This window comes from Homo sapiens, chromosome 1, assembly GCF_000001405.40.
Source record: "Homo sapiens chromosome 1, GRCh38.p14 Primary Assembly".
Lineage (NCBI taxonomy): Eukaryota > Metazoa > Chordata > Mammalia > Primates > Hominidae > Homo > Homo sapiens.
In genome coordinates, this window is record NC_000001.11 from 94,401,213 (window position 1) to 94,427,304 (window position 26,092).

Below are 26,092 nucleotides of genomic sequence, written 5' to 3' on the forward strand. Positions count from 1 at the left end.
TTGAGTAAAATGAATTCTTTCATATACTGTTTAAGAGAGATATCCAAGCCTGGTCGAACCTGCTAGCATGTATAGTCGTAGGCCTGGTGCCCAGCGTGGGCAGACCAGGGAAACATTTCCAATACGGAATGGTGCCCAAACATGCCCCAATTCTACAGGAATGTGCCACTGTTTATATGTATGAAACAAAATCTCCAACCAGCAAAATCTAGAAATCTTTCCAAGTATAACAACAACATAGGCATCTTTCTGAATCACATACTGGTTAGTTGTGTTTTGAAATTAACTGTAAATCCCACAGGGCATTCTTAACTATTCTGAAGGTTGCTTGAGAGACATTTGAGATAAATTATTTTCCTTCCATTTTTCAGATACCTTAGGTCTTCTTAAGATAAGTTATTTTTTCTTTCATATTTTTAGATATTTCAGGTCCTTCTCAGGACATAAGGTTACAAGTAAATGGTCTTAATACTGGAACAAATTCCAGGGATGTTTAAGTAGATGCAACTCTATCAATCTGAATTTATCTTTAAGATCTTTCTTTTTAAAAAATGATTAGTTAGCTTGTTTGCTCATTCATTCATTGATTCATTTCTTTGGGATTATGATTTACATGCTATAAAAGGCACAGGTCTTAAGTATTCAGTTTGATGAGTTTTGACATTTGTAAATACCCATAAAACCACCACCCCAAAGAAAATATAGAACATTTTTGTCACCCAAGGAAGTTCCTTCATGCCATCTTCCAGTGGATTTTACCCCGCTCCCACATGCACCCACTTTCTTTTATCATACATTGGTTCTGCCTGTTCTCGCATTTGTATTCATTGAATCAAGTAGTGTGTGTCTGCTTATCTGTCTCCTTTCACTCAGTTTTTGTGAGATTCATTCATGTTGCTGTACTTTTCAGCAGTTCTTCCTTTTTATTGAAGAGTAATGTTTCATTGTCTGGATATACCACAACCTGTTTACCCATTCTTTTGCTGATGGACACTGAGTGTGTTTCCAGTTTTAGGAGGTTATGAATAAGGCTGTTATGAGTGTTCTTTAATATGTCTTTAAATTTTCTATTTTCTAAACAAATCTTTTTGTTTTGAAATAATTTCTAATTTATCAAAAGTTACAAAGCTTAAAATGGCACAAACACTCATGTGCCCTTTATTCAGATTTGCCAATTATAAATATTTAACCTTTGCTTTATCATTTATGTGTGTGCTCTTTATGTATGTGTGTGTTTTTCCTCAGGGCCATTTGAAGGCTCTTTACTCCTAAGAAGTTGAGTGTATATATCCTTAGAATATGAATGTTCTGTAATATAATCACAGTATAGTTAGCAATTTCAGCAAATGTAACATTGATATAATACTCTAACCTACCAATAGTATTCCAGTTTTGTTGGTTATTGACCCAATAATGTCCTCAACAACGTCCTCTACCCCCTTCACGCTCTAATCTAAAACCCCGTTTAGGGTCAGCTATTACTTTTGATTGTCACTTCTTTAGCCTCCTTTAATCTGGAACATTTCCATATTCTTTCTTTGCCTTTTATGACATTGATTGTTATTATGAATATAATACTTCCTCTCTTTTTTTTTCTTTTATTACTATACTTTAAGTTTTAGGGTACATGTGCACATTGTGCAGGTTAGTTACATATGTATACGTGTGCCATGCTGGTGCGCTGCACCCATTAACTCATCATCTAGCATTAGGTATATCTCCCAATGCTATCCCTCCCCCCTCCCCCCACCCCACAACAGTCCCCAGAGTGTGATGTTCCCCTTCCTGTGTCCATGTGATCTCATTGTTCAATTCCCACCTATGAGTGAGAATATGCGGTGTTTGGTTTTTTGTTCTTGCGATAGTTTACTGAGAATGATGATTTCCAATTTCATCCATGTCCCTACAAAGGACATGAACTCATCATTTTTTATGGCTGAAAATGTGGCACTTCCTCCCTTTTTAAACAAAATGATCCTCGTCTTAGGTTGTTCTGATGTTTCCTCATGATGAGATTCATATTATGCATTCTAGGCTGGAATCTTGCATAGGAGATGTTGAGAGGCGTGAGATATCCATCTTTCCTACATTGGTGATGTTAATTTGGACTGACCAGTCAAGATTTTGTCCAGTTTATTCATTGTAAAATGACTATGTTTTCTCCATTGTAACTAATAAGCAGTTATCTGTCAGCAGATCATTTAAGATTATGAAAATATCCTGTTCCTCATCAAAATTCACTCCTAGCTTTGGCACCCATTGATGAGTCTTGCCTGATTCAATTTCCACTATGATTGTCACAAAATAATAATTTTCCAGCTTGCACTCCTCCCTTACCAGTTGGCCTTCGCATTTACCTGTAATCAAGAGACCTCTTTTCTCCACTATTATTTATTTGTCTGTTTATTGTAGATATGAACTCATTAATTTCTATTTCTTCAATGGCTTATAATTTATTACTGGACTTATTTTGGTGTACAAATTATCTCAGGTTTGGTCTGGAGGAGCCTTTTCAAGATGACTCCTGTGTTCCTGTGACATGCCCTCATGATTTTTTAATCAACTTTTTAATTTTCTGATATGACTAAATATTCATCTTATACCTACCCTGCTCCATCCCTGGAATTAGCCATTTCTTTGAGGAGCCCTTGTTCCTTTTAGTGGTAAATGGTGTTAAAAGACCAAGATCTAGGTATGAGGTATGATCATTGCTACCAGACTTTGTTTCTTGGTCTTTTCAGTGGACAGAACAAAGAAATATGTAAATGTATACACACTAGTATACAAATGTATACCTGTAAGTACATATACATGCATACTTATCACATATACACACATACACATACCACATACATATTTTACAAATTATACAATCACATCTGAGGTTTCCAGTTGCAATCCATCCCCCTCAGAATTCTTTTTGGTTTTCTCCTACTCCATAATTTTTTTGTCCCTTCTTCGTCAGTGATAACTCTAGATCCCAACAACATCAATACCTTTGCTCATTTGATCAATCCAAAATAAAATTCTTAAACAGTTTAAGAATTACTTTGCCCATAATACTAGAATAAACAAGTCTACTATAATGAGTTCAGGGTTCATGTGTAATTCTTCCTTATCCACAACCCTGCACAAGACTGAGGATGTATAGTCAAATATTATGTTCATAAGCTACATGGATTCCTTCCTTCTTTCCTCTCTTCCATCTTTGGCTCTCTTGTTTTTTCTCTCCAGTGTGGTTATGGTATTAATATGAAATAAAATCAGTTTCATTTGTTGTGGTTTGCTTTCAGTTTTTCATTTTTTCCTTCTTATTCTTATTCATTGAATTTCATTTCTGAATATGTAGAATGTAATCATGCTTCCAAGAGTCAAGCTTATGCAAAAAGATAGTCTCAGAGAAGTGTTACTCTTTTACATCCCTTCCATTCTATTTCTGCATCCCCTTGTAGGTCACAAATTTCATTGTTATCTGATTTTTCATCTAGTATTACTTTTCGCAAAGTTAAATAAATATATGTATATATCTTTATTTTCCCTTCTTTCATATGTTAAAGTTAGCATCCTTCATAAGCTCTTTTGCTTTTATAAAAAACTTAATTATACCTCCTGGAAATTATTTCATTTCAGTTCCTAGAAATCTTCCCTATTTTGAGGCGGAGGTTGCAATGAGCTGATATTGCGCCGCTGCACTGCAGCCTGGGTGACAGAGCGAGACCCATCTCGAAAAAAAAAAAAAGAAAAAAAAAAACAAACAGAAAAGAAATCTTCCCTATTATAGTTTGTGTAGCTGCATAGAACTCATTATGTGTATATACCAAAGATTAATTAGTGTCCTATACTTGAACAGTTGGTTTGTGTTCAATATTATGCTATTTCAAAATAATCTTGTGCATATTGCATTTTTGTATTTTTGGGTGTGTATCTACTTCCTAGTATATGTAAATTCCAAAAGGTAACACTCTAGGGTAAATGCCTGTATAGTTTTATATTTGAATCTGTGTAGCCAAATTCCCCTCAATTGCTTTTCATTCCTACCAGCAATGCATGAGGGTATTTATTTTCTCCATACCTTGCCACATAGTAACATTATCAAGCTTTTTTTTTTTTTTTTTGAGACGGAGTTTCACTCTTGTCGCCAAGGCTGGAGTGCAATGGCCCCATCTTGGCTCATCACAACCTCCGCCTACTGGGTTCAAGCAATTCTCCTGCCTCAGCCTCCCGAGTAGCTGGGGTTACAGGCATGCACGCCTGGCTAATTTTGTATTTTTAGTACAGACAGGGTTTCTCTATGTTGGTCAGGCTGGTCTTGAACTCCCCACCTCAGGTGATCCACCTGCCTCGGCCTCCCAAAGTACTGGGATTACAGGCATGAGACACCGCCATTATCAAGCTTTTGAATTTTTTTGCTAAAGTTGTGGGTGAGAAACTGACTTTAGTATAGTTTATCTTGCATTTCTTTATTAGGAGCGATGTTGAACATCTTCCAACGTGTTTAAAGACCAGCTTTTGTATCTCTTTTTGTAAATTGTCTGTTCTTGTCATTTGCCTATTTTTCTGTAGGATTTTTGGTCTTTTTCCTTAAGTTTTATAAGTTCTTTATCAGTTAGGGATACTGATTTTTTATTTGCAATGTAGGCTGCAAATGTTTTCTTCTAGTTTGTTGTTTGCCTTTTGACTTTGCTTATGGTTTTTGGCATGCCAAAGTTTAGAAATTTTTAAAAATTATATTTATCAATTTTTTCTTTTAGTGCATTTGAATTTTTAGTAACAGAAAACCTTTTCTGATATCTAGATTACAGAGGTATTTACCCATGTTTTCTTGTTGTACTTGTGTAATTTTATTTTCCACATTTATATCTGTGATCCATGTGGAGTTTATTCCTGTGTATGGTCTGAGGAAGGAATTTAACTTTTTTTCAAATGGTTATCCAGCGATCTCAACACCATTTATTAAAAAAAAAAACAACTATATTTGCCTGAGTGAGAAGGGATATTACCTTTATCATACACTAAATTTTTATATGCACTTGTCTCCATTTCTGGACTTTCCATTCTGTCGATCTGTCTATTCATGTACTAGTACCACACTGTTTTAATGATAGAGTCTTTATAGTATTTTGTTTTGTTTTTTTTTTTTTTTTTACAGTCCAGTGGGTTGTTGTTGTTGTTTTACACTTACTATGCCATGAATTCATAGGGAATAGGTTACAGCAGCTCAGGTTCCTTTCCAGTTTTTCTCACAAAGTGTGCTTCTCTGGGTGGAACAGGCTGGCGCTTCAGTTGAATCCAGGTACCTTTCTCTTTGGCTCCCTTCTTTTTCTGATCATTTTCCTTCTTGCGTTTCAGGAAGCTATCTCAGCTCTTAGAGTATGTAATGATGTAATGTGCTCAGTACACACACTGATTCTCTTGATAAGAATCTTGTCCTTAAAGTATTGGTTTATAGCAATGTCAACAACATCCTGAGAACATCGTAGACTTCCAGTTATGGCATGGTAACACTTGTGCCGTGTTCCTTTTTCAACAAGTGCCCATCTCCTTGATGTTTATGACTTAACTTTTCTGATAGATTTGCATGTATGTGGCCAAAGGAGCAATGCCATGTTTCCTAAAAAGCCTGGAGAACATGTATTGGGTGGCTCTCCTCTTTCTCTTTGTGTTCATCATCTTGGCGAATGACTGAAAGATGGTGGTTACAGCCAAAAGGCTATAGTATGTTTCACTATCTAGTGGGGCTATAACCTGCCTTTTCAGTTGCTCTTTGATGTTTATTTTCCCCTATAAACTTTAGGATGAACTTGTCTACCTTCATAAAAACAACAACAACAACAACAACAACAAAAAACCTCATAGGATTTTTTTCTTAAAATTGCATTAAGCTTATAAATTAGCTTAGGGAGAACTGACATACTGATGATATTGAAACATCCTTTTGTTTTTGTTTTTGTTTTTGAGACGGAGTTTTGCTCTCACTGCCCAGGCTAGAGTGCAATGGCCCGATCTCAGCTCACCGCAACCTCCACCTCCTGGGTTCAAGGGATTCTCCTGCCTCAGCCTCCCGAGTAGCTGGAATTACAAGCATGCACCACCATGCCCGGCTAATTTTGTATTTTTAGTAGAGATGGGGTTTCTCCATATTGGTCAGGCTGGTCTCAAACTCCTGATCTCAGGTGATCCGCCCGCCTCGACCTCCCAAAGCGCTGGGATTACCAAGCACAAGGGGTGTCTTTCTATTTGCTCAAGTCTTCTTTTCTGTGTTTCAGGAATGTTTTGTAATTTTCTTCATATAGGTTTTGCACATTTCTTGTAAGTTTATTCCTAAATATTTTATCTTTTTTGTTTCTATTATAAATGGGGCTTTCTCAACCATTGTATCTTACAACTGGTTGTGATTTGTGTATGTGAATATTATCCAGCTCATCAGGAGCACCAGGCTAGACTAAAAACTGAGGAATCTGGATCTCGAGTTTGTTCTTGGTAGTTATTTTATAATCAATTCATTCCTGCTGCTAAAGCGATGGTCAGCAAACTATAGCCTGTGGACCAAATCTGGCCTACCTTCTGTTTTTGTATGGCCTGCAAGCTAAGAATGGCTTTTACATTTTTAAATGGTCAATAAAGAAACAACAACAAACAAAAAATAATATTTCTTGACATTTGAAAACTACAGGGAATTCGAATTTCAGAGTCCATAAATAAAGTGTTATTGGAACACAGCAATGCCGATTCATTTATATTATTGTCTTTGGCTGTTTTCCTGATACAACGGCAGAGCCGAATAGTGGTGGCTGAGGTTCTCTGGCCCATGAAGCCTGAAATATTTATTACTTGGCCCTTTGCAGAAAAAACGTACAGAACTTTTCCTGAAGGAACTCATTCTCTAAGAGATGCAGAAGTTAAGTAAATAAACCAGTACGATACAGAGCTGTCATTTCTATTATAGAGGAGCAAAGAAGATTTTATTTTGACTTGAGGGTAGAGAAAGATAGAGAAAACATAACAGAAAGCGTTGACTGAGCCAAGTCTTGAAAGACAATATACACCGGGATCAGGGTAGCAGATTAGGTTACTAGAATCAGAATGCAAGGCTGCTGCGATGGCTCATGCCTGTCATTCCAGCACTTTGGGAGGCCAAGGTGGGGGGATCACTTGAGGTGAGGAGTTTAAGACCAGCTTGGCCAACATGGTGAAACCCCATCTCTACTAAAAAAATCCAAAAAAAAAAAAAATTAGCTGGGCGTAGTGGCGGGTGCCTGTAATCCCAGCTACTAGAGAGGCTGAGGCAGGAGAATTGCTTCAACTCAGGAGAAAGAGGTTGCAGTGAGCTGAGATTGCGCCACTGCACTCCAGCCTGGGTGACAGAGCAAGACTCCATCTCAAAAAACAAACAAACAAAAAAATCAGAATGCAAAGAATGGGCAGAGCCTGCCATATGGAGACGATAAATCATCCATATGGCTGGATGAGCAGAAGAGCTAAGCTAGGACCACACTAAGAAAAGCATACTCCCATGCTAAGAAGTTTGGATTTTATTCTTAATGTGATGGAGAGTAGCTGAAGAATTTTAGATGAGAGACTGACATGATCATAATTGTGTATTATAAAAAGAGTTTTCATTGCAATGAAACACAAGGATGGAGGAACTTAAGTCTGGAATCAGGCAGAGAACACAAGGCTTCCTCCTATGTTAAACTGCAATAAGACCCTGATAAAGTCGGCTACCACATTCATGTTGTTATACACTCCTATGCGCTTTCTTTTCCTTATACTAATTCTACCCTTATCAATCTGTTCCTTTTTATAACTTTTAAGGCCTTTTTTCCTGGGGTCCTTTTTACACTGAATCATATATCATCTGGGGGGTGGCAGGAGGGGAGGAAGTAGGGAAGGTTAATGGGTATAAAAAAATAGAAAGAATGAATAAGATCTAGTATTTGCTAGCACAACAGCGTGATTATAGTAAAAAATAATTTAATTGTACATTTGAAAATAACTAAAAGAGTACAATTGGATTGTTTGTAACACAAAGGATAAATGCTTGCAACGATGAATACCACATTTACCCTGAAGTGATTATTATGCATTACATGCTTGTATCAAAATATCTCATGTAACCCATAAACATATACACCTACTATATACCCACAAAAGTTAAAAATTAAAATAAAAATTCATCTTATTTTTTTAACTGTTTTGTATTTCGGTCTTTTCTCCCTAATAAATCACTGATAGATCATTGATACATTTTATAACATAGGCAATTGAGACAATATAGTATGAATTAATTTAGACCCACATTGTATTGTAACCCAATTTACATTTTTCTGATCCTGAAATTTATAATTACCATATACCGTTATATCGGTGAAACTTTACTTATTACAACTTTAAAAAATTATACAAACAGCAATAATAAAGACTCCATTGGCTTTTCATAGCTTTTTATTTTAGAACTTTCTGGCATCATTGTGGCGTTTCTGACACATCAGATTTTAGCAATTTTCCACTCTGGTGGGTAGCACATAGTGGTACAGAATCCAGAATCAGATAGTGGCCAGTTGTCACATGAGGACAGTGGGGAGCAGCATCTCAGCCTGGGCATGGTATTATGCAAAGTTCTATTTCTGAGAAGGAGACTTGATAAGGCTCAGCAAAGTATCCAATCATAGCTGGGTTCAAGGCAACACTTTGGTCCTAAGATGGGAACGGTGCTACTGGAATTAATAACCAGTCAAACTAAGCTTTATCAAGCCCTAGGAGCTGTGTCTGGTTGACTGGATATACAGATGGACTCCATATACAGACGGATGGCTGAGCACTGAGTTGCTGAATAGGGCAAGACTGTATAGTGGCTACAATTTGCTTTGTAACTGCATAATTTTATAAATGAATGGAACTGAGCATGCAAGTGTGGCACACAGGGGACAAGAGAACCAAAATTAATATAAATATAAAACTAATGCATGTCATCAGAAACTTGCCTCCTTGCAACTCCCTAGCCTGGAATTTTCACTCTCTTATAGATTCCCATAGTACTTTGATTGTATATCCAGCACAACTTTTATTACAGTGGTCCTTGTGGTTATTATTATTATGGTATGTAGATTATTCATTTCAAGAGGGTAGGACTGTTTTATTTACTTTTGAATTCCTTTTAGGTGGGCTCTCAATTCACAAGTAGCAGGATAATTTCTTGAAATAGCAGTTTTATATTTTCTGTCTAAAATTCTCCCCTTCTCTTTTCCCATTCAGAGAGAAAGGCCTGTGCTTCTTTTTGCCTTCACTGGGGTTGGTAGATGGCTTCCTGACTTTTGATCATCAAAGCTTAGACTGAAACTGAGGTTCAAGGAAACTAAAAAGATCCTGACAGAGGCTGGAGGAGAGAGGGGTTCTTTAGCTGAATAGTGCACAGGTCAGCTGAACGCCTAGGTCTGAAGATCTCAGCCTCACCCCAAAACTTCATACCCCTTTCATGTCATAGAAGGAACCATGAAGGCTGGGGCAATGACAGTTCAGTCACAGCTAGTGCACACAGATGATTAATAAATGGAACGGACTCCATAATGCCCTAGAGATGTATGAGACCCCAGAACTTTGACATAATTCTTAAAGTGGAAAAGCCTGAGAAGATTGGGTTTTTTGTTTCATATTTAAATTTCATTTTCAAATGTAATTGGTTCAACAAATGATGCTGGGACAGCTGGATATCCACATGCCAAAGAGTGACACTGGGCACTCACTTCACACAATATGCAAAAATTGATACAAAAGGGATCAAAGACTTAAATGAAAGAGGTAAAACTACAAAACTAAGAAGAAAACCTAGGGGATACATCTTCATGATCCTGGATTTGGCAATAGATTCCCAGGTATGACACCAAAAGCATAAGAAACAAAAGAAAAAATAGATAAATTGGACTCTATCAAAATGTAAAACCTTTTTGTATTAAAGGACACTATTAAGACAGCAAAAAGACAAACTATGGAATGGGAGAAAATACTTGCAAATTATATATCTGATAAGGGTTTAGTATCCAGAATATACAAAGAATTTTTACAACTCAACAACAAAGAGACAATCAACTCTATAAAAGGGCAAAAGAATTGAATAGACATTTCTCCAAAGATATACAAATGGCCAACAAGCACGTGAAAAGATGCTCAAAATCATTAGTCATTAGGGAAGTGAAAATCAAAACCACAATGAGACACCACTTCACTTTACACTCATTAGGATGCCTGTAATAATAGTAATAAATGAAAAATAACAACTGTTGGCAAGGATGTGGAGATATTAGAACCCTTTTTCATTGCTGGTGGAAGGTAAAATGGTTCAGCTGCTGTGGAAAAGTTTGGCAGTTCCTCAAAAAGTTAAACATAAAATTTTTAAAAGTTTAAACTAAAAAGTTAAACACAGAATTACCATATGACCTAGCAATTCTACTCCTAGTTATATACCCCTCCCAATACATGTACATTCACGTTCATTGTAGAACTATTCAAATAACCAAAAGGTAGAAACAACCCAAATGTGCATCAGCTGATGAATAGATATAAAATGTGATGTTTCCATAGAATGAAATTATTCATCCATACAAAGGAATGAAGTATAGTACTAATAAATGCTACAACATAGATTAACCTCGGAAACTTTATGCTAAGTGAAAGAAGCCAGACATAAAAGGGCACATATTGTATGATTCTATTTACATGAAATGTCCAGAATAGGTAAATTCATAGAGATGAAAGCTGATTGATGGTTGCCAGGGACTACGGGGAGAGGAAGAAGGGGAATGACTGCTTAATGGGTACAGGGTTTTCTTGTTCATGATGAAAGTGTTTTAAAACTAGGTAGAAGTGGGAGTTGCCCCACATTGTAAATGAACTGAATACTGCCAAACTGTTCATTTTAAAATAGCTCATTTTATGTCATGTGAACGTCACCTCATTAAAAAAATTTTTTTGATGTAATAGGTAATATATTCACATGGTTAAAAACTTAAAAGGTACAAATTTATTCAGTGAAGTCTTCCCACCCCTTACCCCTACTAAGTTACCCTTCTTGCAGTCAAGTAGTATTATCAATGTCATGAGTATTTTTCCAAAGATATTTTATTCATCTATAAGCAAATAAGTATATATTACTTTCCCCCACTAGCTCCGTTTACAAATGGTGATAAACTTTGCATATTCTTCCGCACCTGGCTTTTTTCTGCTTAATATTATATTTGAAAATCATATCAGTTCATATAAAATTGCTTCATTCTTTTAATGAGTGTATAATATTCCATTATATTTGTTTATCCAGACCTCCACTGATGGACATTTAGAAAAGTTCCCAATTCTTTGCTCTTACAAAGATGCATTATACCTATGATATTTTACTTATGTGAGAATACATCTGCAGAGTCAATTCCCTGGAGTGGAATTCTGGGTCAAAAGGTACATGCATTTGTAACTATTTTAAAGCTATTGCCCAGTTGTTCTTCTGGAGTTCATATTTATTTACCTGCCTCTCAGAACTAGTAATCAAAAATTACAGTGTTACCACACTTTGGGGTCTTTGCCAATCTGGCAGATAAAAATTGATTTTTAGTGTAGTTTTATTTTGTATCTCTATGATAAGAGTAATCCTTTCATATGTTTAAGAGCCATTTTAATTTTTTTATTGTGTGAGCTATATCATTATTTGCTCATTTTTTAAATTTAGCTTTTGGCCTTTTTCCTACTAATTTTAAGGTACTTTTAGAAAAATTAACCACTTATCTGTAAAAATAAGTGCAGTTTTCCCTTACAGTTTTCTTTCTACCCTGTTTACAGGTTGTTTTTAATCACAAAAAAAATGTTTAAGTTGTGAAATTTATTTATTTATTTTTTCTATGGCTTCTGGATTTTAATACCTAGAAAGGTCTTCCCCATGCCAAGATTATAAGATAAATGTATCATAAAAAATTCTGCCATCTTTTCTTCTAATATTTTTATGGTATCTTTTTTTTCCTTTTAAAAAATTCATTCTTTGAGCAATTTTGAATTTATCCTTTTTATTTTATTGGGAGTATGAGGTATGTATTCAATTTTTTTTTCAGATTATGTAGGATTAAAGAAAAATAAGATTTGGCTCTTTCCCTCATGATAGTTACTGCAATTTAAATAAATAAACACTACGGGAGCTCTGGCAGAAGCCTGAACAGGATGCAATGCGGACACAGTTGGGAGGAAAAGGGAGTACATTCCTCTTTGGGACCCTGATCTAGTGAGACAGGACTATCTGAGTCCATCAGAAAGTCTAGTAGTGGTGAACCTCAAAAAGGAAGAGGTTGAGATCTCAATCTCTTTCCTCCCAGGAGGCTCTCCTATGCAAACTTCCCCAATGCCAGCTTGGGCTAACTAGGGCTATTTGAAGAAACAGCCTTGTCAGGATGTCCTTTCCTTGGTGCAGTTGGGTACCTATTCTCCTTCCATTTCTAATTGGTAAGAGGGGCTTTTCAAGTGACTCTTTTCTGAGCAAAGATGATTTGTTCTCAGTGACTTGAGGTGTTTACCTTTCCAGAGAAATGATTGGCAGGTCTCTAAAAAAAATTTAAGATCTGCCTCCCCAGACACCCTACTACATATTAATAGAATTATATATGAAACAGTAGTAGTACAAAGAAGATAATAATTAACTTGGCAATGGGGTGAAGGGGTTAGGGGGGACTGGTCACAGATGACTGTTCAGAGTAGGAGACCATGAACGCTTCGTTTTAAAGGATAAACTGAGTTGAACGTGAGGATGTTAGGGTAGGAAGGGATTCAGGTAGAAGGAATAGGATATTCAAGGGAAGACTACAGAAGTGAATAGCAGGCATCTATCTCCTGGGGTAGGGGTAGAATATATCTGTAGGAGGGGAGAAGTGCCAAGATAGGAGTTAGAGAGGTAGGCAGAGCTTATATCATCACTGGGTTTGTGTGAGATGCTAAGGCTATTGCAGTTTATCTTGGTGATGAGAAACTAGTAAGGAATTTGTTTGCATCTCATTACCTTTCCTGATGAGCATGTACCACTTCTGTGTCTCCGACCTTGGGTAAATAGTATCACCCTCTTAGACACTCAGCAAGGCAATATCAGAATCAATGTAAAAATTTTCTTCCTATGAATTAATTATTTCACCTATTTCCATTTTATGTGAATCCACAAAGTCATTTTCTTCCTATTTGATCTGTGCTGCCCTGACTCACATGGTCACTACCTTTTACCTAGACTATTTCATGTGTTCAAACTGGTCCCTCTGCTTGATGGTTCCTCCTTCAGCCCACTCTACACACTGCCACTAGCATGATCTTTCTTAAATAAATCCTGAGGTCACTACTCTTTCCCCAGACCTGCAATACACCTTTCTACATGCAGAATAAAAATCCTACCCGGTTGGATTGGTGTTTCAGACCCTCCACAAATTGACTTCAGTTAAACATTGCAAACTTTTCTCTCATTTCACATGCCTCCCTCAGCCTCCATCCACATCAGACTTAATCACCTTCCTCAATCTGCTTCGGTCTCTGCATCTTTGCTCCTGTTGTATCTTCTTCGGAATCCTCTTTTTTCCATCTGTTTTTCAAGGTCACAGTGTCTGCATAATAAATTACCCCCAAATTTAGTGACTTAATACAATAAACACATTACCTTCCACAGTTTCTACGAGTCAGGAATTTAGCAGCATCTTGGCTGAGCTGTCTGGTTTGAGATTACTCATGAGGTTGCAGTCACCTGAAGGCTTGACTGAGGATGGAGGATCTGCTTCCAAGATGGCCCACTCCCATGGCTAGCAAGCTGGTCTGGCTCCTGGTGGGAGGCCTCAGTTCCTCTCCAGGGCACTTTGAGTGCTCTCTGTGGCAGCTGGCTTCCCCAAGAGCAAGCAATCCAAGACACCAAGGCAGAAGCCACAGTGCCTTTTATAATCTGGCCTTTGAAGTCACATAGCATCACCTTCATTATACTCTTTTGGTCACAAAACTCAGCTCTGATGTGAGGGAAATTCCATGAGGGCATAAATATTAGGACACCATGATCACCAGGGACAATCTTGGAGTCTGGCTAACACAACATTTCTTCCAGAGGCTTTCTAGATTCACTAACTTCCTATGCCCTGCCTACCTGTTCTCAGTAGCTCAAATTCTTTAAAAATCAGAGCTCTTGGAGATCTCCCCCATAAAATCACATTTTCTGTTTTTCTTTATTATTTAATATTATGAAGTGTGAACTTGCAAAATTGCATTGTTAATTATCAAAGGACATAGTGCTGAGGAATTTTGTTCTCTAAAATCCTAGACTGTTAGAAAGTTTGTTGTTCTGAGATTCTATCAGTGAGAACAGAACATCCCTTTCTTGCCTGGCAGATTTGAACTCTTTGAGTCACTTAGAGTTACAGAAGCAGTCTCCATTTCCAGTGCAGAAGTTCAGATAAGGGATTTTCAGACACAATATTCTACATTAATCTTAAATGTATGTTTCTAAGAACTAGAATCTTGAATCTGCTTCTCAGCCCAGGTTTGATATTACATACAGATCTGATTTGCTTTAGGCCTATCAAGCACTGCTTTATTTAGATTTTACCTAAACTCCTCTCTTTCTCTAAATACTATAATGACTCCTTATTTCTTCCTTTTTTTTGAGACATGGCCACAATTCCTCTGCTGTATAGTATCTTTTGCTGTAGCAAATTAATAAACTTAATGGGTTCCAGATTTGGTCCTGGTGATTTTTGTCAGATGGGCTTTATCAATAGCTAAAATTATTTGAGCTCGAATAACTAGTGTAATTTTTTAGAATCTCCCATGCTTCTTGAACAAGGGTAACTTTTAGAATGTTTTGTCAATAGATCATTTCTATCTTTCCTCTGACTGTTTTGAAATCTATTTTCTAGACTGTTTTTGACTAATCTTGCTTGTACTTCCTTCACTGTTACAAACTCTAAGATGATACCGTTACTTTCTCACAAGGTTCCCAACTCTTTTCTAGCACTTTATTACTGAATTAGTAATTTCCTGTTTTGTCCTCCTGAGTGACTCCTGCGGTCCTTTAGAATTTAGCTACAGAATCACCTTTGTCAAGCCTTAAGCCTTTATTGAAAGCATTAGACAAAACTAAATATTTTCATGTTTGTGTTCTCATAGCACCTTGTTCATATCTCTAATATAGTACTTACCACATTTATACTTGATTTTTTTTACACGTTTTTCTTCTCTAACAGCCTCTGGAGAATATGATCTCCATGATCTGTTCATCCTTGTGTTATCTGTGCCAGGCATACTTAATTACGTAAATTATGTGAGGTCGTTGGGGCTCACAACACAATACTCCAAAATGAAGGTCTCAGTAGCAAAAGTTCTCTGCCCTACTCTGGCCCTCCTGTCTCTCAGTCCCGTATTTCCCTAGGCTAGCCATAGATATTAGGATCCCTATTCCTCAAGACAAGATGTAGAAACCAGAACCTCTATCCCCTAAAGCCAGCCATAAAAGCCTAAACATATTTTGCTAGTTTTCCCTCCCCCTTTTTCTGTAAAATCTGGCCATAAAGAAATTATCTGACCTGCCTTGTTTGACTGTAGGCTGTTAAGAGCTCCATTCCATTCCTGCCCTATACCCAGAAGGAAGGAATGGTGCTCAGAAGGCCAAGAAGAATCTAGACAGGCCTTGCTGGGTGTCCCCACTCAGTCTGTTAGCATTAGATTATACCATTTTTGTCCAATCACATTTCTACATAGCTGTCCATACTTTGTTGAACCTAAACACAAAAATGGACAATTTTCCAAGTATCTTTGGGTCTCCATTCTGAACGCTCCCATGTATACACATTAAATTTGTATGCCTTTTCTCCTATTAATTTTTTCTTCTATTAATCTGCCTTATGTCAGCGGTTTTCAGTTAACTTTCAGAGGGCCAAAACCTTTTGTCCCTCCAGGTAATGAAAATGTCCACATGACAAATAGTGAATTAGTAGGAGCTTCAGTTCTGCATAATTTAGAATTCACTGTTGAGCACCTCTATACGCATGCCATTATTGTACCTCGTCTTTGTGATCCTCATAACCTGTATTAGGCAACAGCTCATTTATATTGAGAAAACACCTAGGGCACAGCACCACTACTTTGTAGGCTACTTTAATATGTATGTGCATTATGCGAGGTTTTATGAGCTTATTTTCTGACACACTTGCTTTTCTCCAGTTTCCTCAGCTGAAAACAGCGATTCACTGTTACTGTATATATGCTAGGCTCAATGCTGGCGATAACAATTCCTGCAACATAGGGTCAGACAGGAGAAGAATGTTGTAATCTGCAAAGCCCTTCTGATTCTGGGAGTGAGGCCAGCATTAATACAACGCACGATTGTTACTTCTGAATGTCCCTTTGCAAAGAACAGTGTTTCTCAAACTTTTTTCTGACCAGATCTGCATACATTTTACATCGCCGCTGGCGATACATACGTGCAAAACACTGAAATCGAAATTTCTCTAAACAACTCCTTTACTACGTGATGTACTGTGAAACTTTTCTATTTTGTTCTATTCTCAATTTTATTAAAAACGGAGGGTGATGATCCCGATCTACCAAACCAATTTCACAATGCGCTAGAGATTATAACCCGCGGTTTGGAAAATACTGGCTTGGAAAAAGCTCTTTGATCTGTGTCATTCTCCTCACATCTCCCTACACCTCTGCGGAGTTCCGATTGTTTGGTTTCGTCCTGATAATCACTGTGCTGTGTTTTCCCTACACGCTCTGTGACGGGGCCGTCCGCCTCCTTCCTGGGCTCCTTTAAGAGGGTGGTAACGGTACATCACCGCGGGAGTGGAGAGGCAGGGCCCACTAGGTCGTCGCTGCAGGCCAGGCCCGCTCATCCAGTTATTGTGAAAGCCGGGGTGTGCGCGCGAAGAGTGGGAGGGTAGGGGTGAGGCAGGGGCAGCACTGACGCCTCGCAGGGCTGAGTAGCAACAGCTCCTCCGCGCCGCGTTTCCGGAGACCCTGAAGGAGTCCGCGCGTGCGCAGAGCGCGTCCCGGGAACTGTTCCGCCCACGGAGGCTGCCGAGCGCGCTCCCGCCGGGCCAAAGTACAAAGTGGGCTCCAGAGCGCGGGCGGCGCGGCGGCGCGAGCCAGGGGGCGGTCCTGCGCGGCCGGCCCCGCCCTCTGCTCTCCTCCCAGTCTCCCCCGCGCTGCGTGCAGTAAGGTAGCCGCCGCCGCCGCCGCCGCCGCGTCCCCTCGCCGGCTCGCTGGTACCGGCAGTGCCATGGCGGCCTTCAGCAAGTACTTGACGGCGCGAAACTCCTCGCTGGCTGGTGCCGCGTTCCTGCTGCTCTGCCTGCTCCACAAGCGGCGCCGCGCCCTCGGCCTGCACGGGTAAGAAGGCCCGTAGCCGTGCAGCTTTCCCGGGCTGGAGCGGGCGCTCCCCGCGCGCTCTCTCTCCCCACCCGGCCGACAGGTCTCTTTGCCCGACGGGGTCGGGCGGAGAGAGGGCCGACCGCGACTGCCGTGGGACTTCAATGTCAGGGTGTCCGCGAGTCCCCGCCACGACGGCGTCGGTCCCAGCTGGCCTGTCCGGCGACCTCGCTCCACCCCGGGAGTGCGAATTCTTCTGTGCCCGCGGGCGAACCGGCGCCCAGCCAGCACTCAGGCAGCGGCCTCCAGTTGGGGGTGGGAGGGGGATGCGGTGTGTCCCCCACCCCCTTCCCTACATCACCCCCTTCTGTGTCAACTTTCTGGGTGTGTTCTGGTTTTGCCATCTCATCTTCAGACCGTGAAGGATTTGTTTTGGGGACGTGGATGTGTGATTGAGGATGGGGATTGGATTCGCCAGGCTGGAGGCTGGTGTCTAAGTCACTTGGACGAGGTTTGGCTCGATTCCCGACTAACTGCTATTGAAAGTCGCGAGGGTGGCTTCTATGAAACTATTCCCGGTCCACTTGGCAGGATTGCCGTCTAAAGTGGTGAGCCCTTGGAGTCGGTGAACCCTTTGGTCGGTGAACATTTGGTCGGTGGCATTTCATCCGGAAAGGCTGGATCGGTTCTGTCGGACTTAGAGGGAAATGTTTTCCTTCCTGGGCTCTGTAGGTGAAAGATGAGAGTGTGGTTTAGGTGAGGATCAAGCTCCTTTTTAATGACACGCCACTGCTTCCACCGCGGGAGAATTTCAGTGCTTAGATTTAACTTTGGGAGGTTATCAGTTCAGAAAAAGTAAAAAAGAGAGAGCTGAATTACGGTTGCGACATACAGGTATGTATGTCACATACATGCAATTTTTATTTGCTGGACAAGTGAAAGAGAAAAGGCTACTTCCCAAGCGTTCTTGCCAGTCATTGAATATTTCGTATTAAATCTTGACATACTACTTTCATGAATTTTATTTCATTCATTCCTCTGAGCAGGTACTGTTGCCTCCCGTGTTTGATTTGCCTACAATATCTAATTAGTAGTAAAATTTGGGCTAAAACACAAATAGACTTCTAGTTTATAGTACCCTTTCCATTAAGTTCTTTCTAGCCGCCTTCTGTTTTTATCTTACTAGAGTCTGAAGTGATGATCTTTCTTTTCCTTCCTAAATCCATTTAACAGAGTTGAAAATGATTTGCAGCATAGTCTGGGCAATAACAGCGCTTACTCATTTTTCTTCTATTCAGTTTGCTTTTAAAAGGATTAATTTGGGAAAATAAAAAGCAAGTTTTTCTGTTGGTTTGTATGAACTCCCAGTTGCAAATAGAAGTTACCTGTTACCTGGGAACATGCCAGTAGAAAGAAGATGTTAGGTCCTTTAACTTGAATTCTGTTTTTGCAAAGAAGTGTTTCAGGGCATAGAACAGGTGTTTTAATATGGAGGAGGGGACTCGAGGACAGCCCTACAAGTTCTGGATTACTTTTATGATTATATGTATATGTGATATAGTATCACATACATGCCACATACATATAGTACACATAGAGCTTGAAGAATTTTTACAAGTAGAACACACTCGTGTAATCAGCACCCAGATCAAGAAACAGAACATTATCAGCACCCCAGAAATTCTCCTCATGCCCCCATCCAGTCACAGTCCACCTAACTACTAAACCAGTTTGTAAGACCATAGATTATTGCTAAGGGAAATTTTAAACAGAATCTATTGGGAAATAGTAGCGATAGAAGTAAAATAATGTAATAGAATTTGTCTTATTAAATAATTTTAGCTCCTCATTTGCCATTGTAAAATGCCTAAAAAAATTTTTTTTTGAGAAACTTTGTGAGCTTTTGTGGGGATTAAATTCTTTAGCAGGAGATGTACTGAACAAAAGATTATTATTAGTCTTTTGCATTGGGATGAGTGGGGAAAATCTCTATTTTACACAGTATTTTGTTGGAGGAGATTGCAGATTCTGAGCAGATAATCATGAAGTTTAAATTGTTGAGGTGAAATGATTGAACTATTTTGAAACCATTAAAAATGGTATTGAGTGTATTTTTGTAGATATTGTACTTCCAGAAGCTTACAAATATCTTTTAGTCACCACCTTTGGTATCACAGTTTGAAGATTAGAAGATTCTAACTTTATATTTGAGTGGGCTTTTGAATATCTTTGGTAACAGAACTGATTAATTTTAATATCTGGTGCTTAATTAAGGAAACTGTGGCTACTTGGCCTTCTTTTGTCTATGTTGTTAATAGTAGGTTGGTTTTAGAATATATATTCCCTTAGAATTGGATAGGTAATAGAGCTAGTAAAATCACTTTAAAAGTTACAGTGTAACATTATTCCAAACATTGGGAGAATGAGTAATTAAATGTTCTGGGTTACTTTTAATTTTTGTTAATGTAATTTTTTTCACTCAGTTAAATCTCATATATATGTGTGTGTGTTTCTGACCTTTTATTGTGGAAAATTTCACACATATAAAAAATAAATAGAATAATACAAGGATTGCCCAATGCACTTTACCCAAGGAGTACCAACAACATTCTATATTCTTGTTTCATCTATTTCAACCTGCCTGTCACCCCTTATTTTTATAGGTTTTTTAGGTAAAATTTATATACATTGAAATGTACAAATATTAGTTGTACATTTTTTAAACAAATGGATACACTATGTAACACATCCCTATGACAAATTAGAACATTTCTATCCCACCAGAAAGTTCCTTTGTATTCATTCCTGATCAGCTTGTATTCACTCCTGATTCCAGCACTGCTAAGCTAACTTTTTCACCTTAGTTTGCCTAATCTTACCTTTTATTTTATTATTTATGGGGAAAAGAAGAATCTTTTTACTCATGGATAAAGAGGGCTATTTAAAGGAAGTGTCTATTTCAGAATGTTATATTACTGTACTGGGAGCTATAAGATGTGTGTGTGTGTGTGTGTGTGTGTGTGTATTACAAAAATATATGACTTGTTTTCTCAGGGAGCTTACCTTCTTGTTAGGGAAAAGAAACTTAAACACTGATAGCAGAATGAAATGTACAGATAGACATGTCTTAGAAGTTTTGAGAAAGACAAGATTAATGTGTTTGGGAAGGGTTGGGGAAGGCTTCATGAAGGATGTGTGTTAAGCCTAGAAAGGGGGTAGGAGTGGATAACTGGAATAAAGTGACTGTTACAGCATCCTTTATCAGATTTTTGTTGCATTTATGTTAGAAAGAAACTTTGTGGTGCCCTTTCAATCCATCTTCCACTGCCACCAGAGCTCTTTTTAAGAAGCTCAGATATGATCATAATATTCCTTCATTAAAATCATTAATCTACTCTAAAATACAAACTTTCTGTATTCATGGTGTGGTCCTTCCCTACTTTTCCCACTCATCCAACCATAAGTGCTGGGATTACAGGCATGAGCCAACTTGCCCAGCTGATACTTCTTTTTCTTCAAGACTCAGTCAACACTTTGTCTTAGGTGTTTTCTGTCTTTTTCTGATTTCCAAACTGATGTAAGTGTCCTCTGCTTTTATGATACTGTAGGCCAGGGGTCCCCAACCCCCGGGCTGTGGACTGGTACAGGTTGGTGGCCTGTTAGGACCCAGCTGCACAGCCTGTGCAAGCGAGCATTACCACTTGAGCTCCGCCTCCTGTCAGATCAGCAGGGGCATTAGATTCTCATAGGAGCGTGAACCTGTTGTAAACTGCACATGTGAGGGATCTAGGTTGCACACTTCTTATGAGAATCTAATGCCTGATGATGTGAGGCAAAACAGTTTCATCCTGAAACCATCCCCCAACTCAACCCCAATTTGTGGAAAAATCGTGTTCCGCAAAACTGGTCCCTGGTGCCAAAAAGGTTGGAGACTACTGCTCTAGGTATCCCCTACTCTAGCACTTACCATTCTGTATTGTACTAGTTTGTTTTCTTGGCTTTTGCCTACATCAGATCCTGAGTTTCTTGAGGGCATGAACTGAGTCATCTTTAATTCCCTAGTTCGGCTCTGTCATGGGTTAGACAGTGTTTATAGAGAGGATAAATGACATAGGATAGTTGAAGAACTTTTAAGCGTAATTGACAGGCATTTGGAGATGCCTAGTACAAACATGAATAGAAACATTCTTTTTGCAGAAGTAATAGTTGTGTACCTGAGCATATATAACCTGACCTGGGTAGTGGGAAATCAGTGGGCCAATTTTAGAAGGCAGGGAATGGTACCAGTCTGTATAGCCATAGTATTTTATTATCTTTAAAAAACAGAACAGAACAAAGCAGTTTCTTTCGCTTCTTATCAATGCTTGTCAAATAGAGTTCGGATTTCTCATCTTGGATTTCAGAGCCTCCCTCAATCTGGTCTTACTTTACCTGGCTAATCTTATATGCCATTGCCTGCCAATGGGTACTCTCTGTTCCAAATAGGACAGTTTCTACACTGTTCTTTGAACAGGCCACACTCATTTTTGGCTTTGGAGCTTTATTCATGCTGTTACTCATACCTAGAATATCTTTCTATGATATCCCTGTTCTCCAACTCTTGTCATCCTTGAAGGGTTAGGTCAGGGTCACCCTATCCATGAAGTGTTATTTAACTACTCCAGATGATCTAAATGATGATCACCTCTTTTAAAATTTCTGAAGCATGCATTTAAATACCTTTATTGTTTTATCTATTCATTGCTTGACTGGTTATAATCTAGCTAGGTCTACCAAAGTCCACCTGCTTATGGGGTGAGTTTCCTGCTTTTAAAAGCCCCCCTCTGTAAATGGTGGGAACACAGTTTCCTCTCCTAAATATTTCTCAGGAATTTCAGGGAGCTTGTGTTTCTTTTAGTGACATCTTACTTCGCTTCCTTTGGAGCACTTTCTGCTCTATTTTAGAAGGTACTTACATCTTGTCTCTTGAGCCTGTCTCTTTGGCGTCTGCCTTGATTTCTCTAAAGAATCAATCACAAAGCAGATATTTATAGTAGGGCTTTATTGAAAATTTGGGAGGAGTGGTAGGGATTATATCCCAGCATAGTGAACAGCTTAAAATGCTTTTATTTAGAAGTTTTTTGGACATTCCCACTGCTGGAAATTTCTTGACTTTTTTTTTTGTCCTGAGTCTCAGCCCTGTTGCCTGCTGCTGGGCCTTTCTTTACCCATTGGGTGTCCTTATATCTCCAGCTTCTTACTCCCTGCACTACGTTACTGCTAACCCCTCTACAACTTTCCTGCAAACTTCAAAATTCAGCTTTCCTTCCTTAAATCTGCCCCATTCAAATCAAGCTCTAGAAGGGGCTGGCTTCACTTTTCTCAGTTTCACAGGCGCACTGGGTGTTTTGCAAAGTGCAAGCATGAATCATGTGAGGGGCTAGAGCGGCTTGAGACCCTTACAGTTACCCATGAGTAGATGTTATATGGCCCCGTTTGGATCCTCAAAATAAAAAAGAGATGCTTAAGCAACCTTGGATGGAAAAAAAAGCATTGAAGAATTTGCCAGCCAAAGTAGCTGTGTACTGAACCCAACTGAGGCAGATCAGGCCCAGAGCAGTGTTCTGAGAACTGTGTAGCTGTCTGTGGTCTGCTAGGGGGAACTGAGTACAGGTTGTTTAATTAATTATATGTCCCAGTTACTGGCACATTCACATCCTTGGGTAGGCATTCTATTTCAAGGCTTTTGCTCTTGCTGTTTCCCCTGCCTGAAGTGCTCTTTCCTCAGATACTCACATTGCTTACTCTCCCCACTCTTTCAGTCTTTTTTCAGACATCCTTTTAGTGAGACCTTCTATTGCCATTCGATTTATTTTTATTTATTTATTTATTTTGAGACGGGGTCTCACTCTCTCACCCATGCTGGAGTGTAATGGCACCATCTTGGATCATTGCAACCTTTGCCACCCAGGCTCAAACAGTCCTCCTACCTCAGCCTCCCAAGTAGCTAGGACTACAGCCACACGTCACCACACCTGGCTAATATTTTTTGTAGAGACAAGGTCACGTTATGTTGCCCAGGCTGGTCTCGAACTCCTAGGCTCAAGCGATTCTCCCACCTCAGACTCCCAAAGTGCTGGGATTACAGGCAAGAGCCACTGTGCCTGGCCCCTGCCACTCAAAATAGCATCCTGTCTACCTTCCAGACTTTACTTTTCTCCTTAGCACTTATCACTATAAAATATGCTATATATTTTACATATTTATCTTGTCTGTTGTATATGTTTGCAGTATATACATACTGCTAGCATTTAAGTTCCACAAAGGCAAGAATTTTTGTCTATTTTATTCACAGTTATAGCCCCAGTGGCTAGAACTGTGGCTGGAATATATAGTAGACACTCATATTTGTTTGACTCTACAACAACAAATGAGATTCTCATTTTTTGGGGGCTGTGGTTACTATTGTTTTAAATAACACATTCTTTTTGCTACAAATGTAAATGTTGTCTTTAGTATATTTATGAGCTCTTTAGGAGCTGGACCACTTATACCCCCTATATGTACAGGTAAAGCAAGTCTCAGAAACTTAAAAAAATGCTATCATCACCTGCTTTTGACAGTTTAATAGAGTGTAAACATTAAAGACAATTTAAGAAAATTAAAAATCATCCATAATGTTATAACCATAATACAAATATTGTTTTATTTTTGTTTCCTTTTATTCTGTATTTATGTGCATTTTTACAGTTATAACGTACATGTTTTGTTATTTTCATTTAAAGCATACCTCTTTCCTATATTTCCCTGTACATGACCTTCATAACTATACTTTTAAAGAAATACGTAAATATTCCTCTGTGTGACAATATCTTAGTTTATTTTCCTGTTAGCTATTGAGGATCTAGACTGTCTCTGGAATTTTTATGGATTATACTGGTGTATTTTTGCAAGTGAACATTTTCATCTCTGCTGAATAACTTCCTTGGAATAAATTGCCAGAAGTAGGATTAATGAATGGAGGCTTATGAATTTCCTTAGTGTTTGTGGAAACTGTGGGCATTCTTAAACTACACAGGTTGATGTATTACTTTTCATGAGTTGTGCCAATTTGCAGTACTATGAATGAATGCTGACTTAATTACCTACTCATCATTAGGGGATATTTAAATTTTTTTCTACTTTACGGATGCAAAATAGTCTTGAAAGATTATTTTAATTTGCACGTATTTTATAATTTGCAAAAATGAACATTTTTTTGTGCAGCTACTTGATCTTTATTATGGAGGTAGTTTGGCATAGTGTTAAAGAATAGTCTTTAGAGTCAGATGTAGGTTCAATTTTTCCTTTGGCCGTTTGTCAGATCTGTGACCTTGGTCAATTTACTTAACCTCTTTGAACCTCAGTAGAACAGGGATAGTAGTATTTACTCACTCACTCAGCAGTTAAGTGAGGATTAATGGAGAAAACGTTTTAACCCAGTGCTCAGTAAATAAAAGGTAGCTCTCATTTCTATGCTTGCTAAAAGAAAACTAAAAGGACAACAAAACATACCTTTGTTAGCTTCTTAAAAACTCCCGAGCCTTCCTAATTTCCTCAGATACACCCATGAAAATCTCCCAAAGGAAGCCTTTTTCAATTGATAGAATCATTTACTTTCAGAGTTGGAAAGTATCTTAAGTTAGTTTTATGTGACATGGTTTTAGGTTTCTGTATTTTTTCAGTTGCTGCTTCCTGAATATGACAGTCTTTATTTCTCCACCTTTTAAAGAGGCATTGCTAAATGGAATTCGGCATTCAAAGTGTCTTCTCACTGGCACACTAGCAGAGAACTGTGACCTACCTTGTCCTAAGCTTTCATTAAAGATCCTAAGATGTTAAGCTTTCATTAAAATAGCATGAAGTTACATTCATTTTTATGACTCTCAAATATTTTTCACTTGTATTTAGCTTTCACAATGGTTTTCCCTTCTTTCCCCCTCCTCACCTTGATGTGTTTGATTTTTTTTTTTTTGAGATGGAGTCCTGCTCTGTCACCCAGGCTGGAGTGCAGTGGTGCAATTTTGGCTTACCGCAACCTCCGACTCCCGGGTTCAAGTGATTATCTTGCCTCACCCTCCCGAGTAGCTGGGATTACAGGCACCCGCCACCACACCCAGCTAATTTTTTTGTATTTTTAGGAGAAATGGGGTTTCGCCATGTTGGCCAGGCTGGTCTTGAACTCCTGACCTCAGGTGATCTGCCTACCTCGGCCTCCCAAAGTGCTGGGATTACAGGTGAGAGCTACCGCGCCCAGCCTGAATTTTTTTTTTTTTTTTTTTTTTTAAACCTGGGTGCAGGTCTTTATACTTATTTTTGGTTGGGCACATTACTTCTTCCCTCTGAAACTTTTTGATCTGCACAATTAATTACTATTCCTTCTGTATGTTTTCCTAACAAACTTAAAAAACTGATTGGACAGGACTGAGTATAGAACAGTATGTTTACACCACTATAATCTTTCTATTAATTGACACCCTTTGGTTATTGTATTGGCTCTCATTTTTAACTTACCAGCATCTTTTCACACATTTCCTTCTGGTAGTAGACCTGGCATTCTGACAGTATCCATAACCTGATGCATACTGGGCCAGAGTCCTCTTTTGGGATGTTTCTGCTGGAGCTGGTGTGGGGAAGGGTCTTTCTTTCCTGTCACAGAGGTGTGAAGGTAGACCCTAGAACTGTATTAGCCTTGGTCTCTTACATGGAAAGGGCAGAA

The 26,092-nt window shown here is 38.8% G+C and overlaps 1 protein-coding gene and 1 pseudogene across 5 annotated transcripts in view, besides 4 other annotated features; one reads left to right on the top strand and one right to left on the bottom strand.

The window, feature by feature from the left end:
* Nucleotides 1–26,092, top strand: part of ABCD3 (ATP binding cassette subfamily D member 3) — a 133,533-nt gene that overhangs the window by 16,082 nt on the left and 91,359 nt on the right. For 4 of the 5 annotated variants that reach the window (XM_006710802.3, NM_002858.4, XM_047426549.1 and 1 more), the window contains exon 1: nucleotides 17,177–17,376. The exons of the other annotated variant lie outside the window; for it this stretch is intronic. In XM_006710802.3, coding sequence (XP_006710865.2) covers nucleotides 17,267–17,376 — 110 coding nt within the window. In that variant the 5' untranslated portion in view covers nucleotides 17,177–17,266. Of the gene's footprint in view, nucleotides 1–17,176; nucleotides 17,377–26,092 lie in introns of those variants that run through there. 5 annotated transcript variants of the gene reach the window in all.
* Nucleotides 5,175–5,710, bottom strand: RPL21P26 (ribosomal protein L21 pseudogene 26; annotated as a pseudogene).
* Nucleotides 16,366–17,157: an enhancer, noted in NCBI's record as "H3K27ac hESC enhancer chr1:94883134-94883925 (GRCh37/hg19 assembly coordinates)". NCBI's record gives its function as "activates a minimal SCP1, AML or CMV promoter by ChIP-STARR-seq in naive H9 embryonic stem cells {active_cell/tissue: H9 hESC(naive)}" and the evidence as "EXISTENCE:reporter gene assay evidence [ECO:0000049][PMID:30033119]".
* Nucleotides 16,366–17,298: a biological region, named in NCBI's record as "H3K27ac hESC enhancer GRCh37_chr1:94883134-94883925".
* Nucleotides 16,919–17,298: a silencer, noted in NCBI's record as "silent region_1096". NCBI's record gives its function as "represses an Ori minimal core promoter by ATAC-STARR-seq in GM12878 lymphoblastoid cells {active_cell/tissue: GM12878}" and the evidence as "EXISTENCE:reporter gene assay evidence [ECO:0000049][PMID:35858748]".
* Nucleotides 17,629–17,768: an enhancer, noted in NCBI's record as "active region_1347". NCBI's record gives its function as "activates an Ori minimal core promoter by ATAC-STARR-seq in GM12878 lymphoblastoid cells {active_cell/tissue: GM12878}" and the evidence as "EXISTENCE:reporter gene assay evidence [ECO:0000049][PMID:35858748]".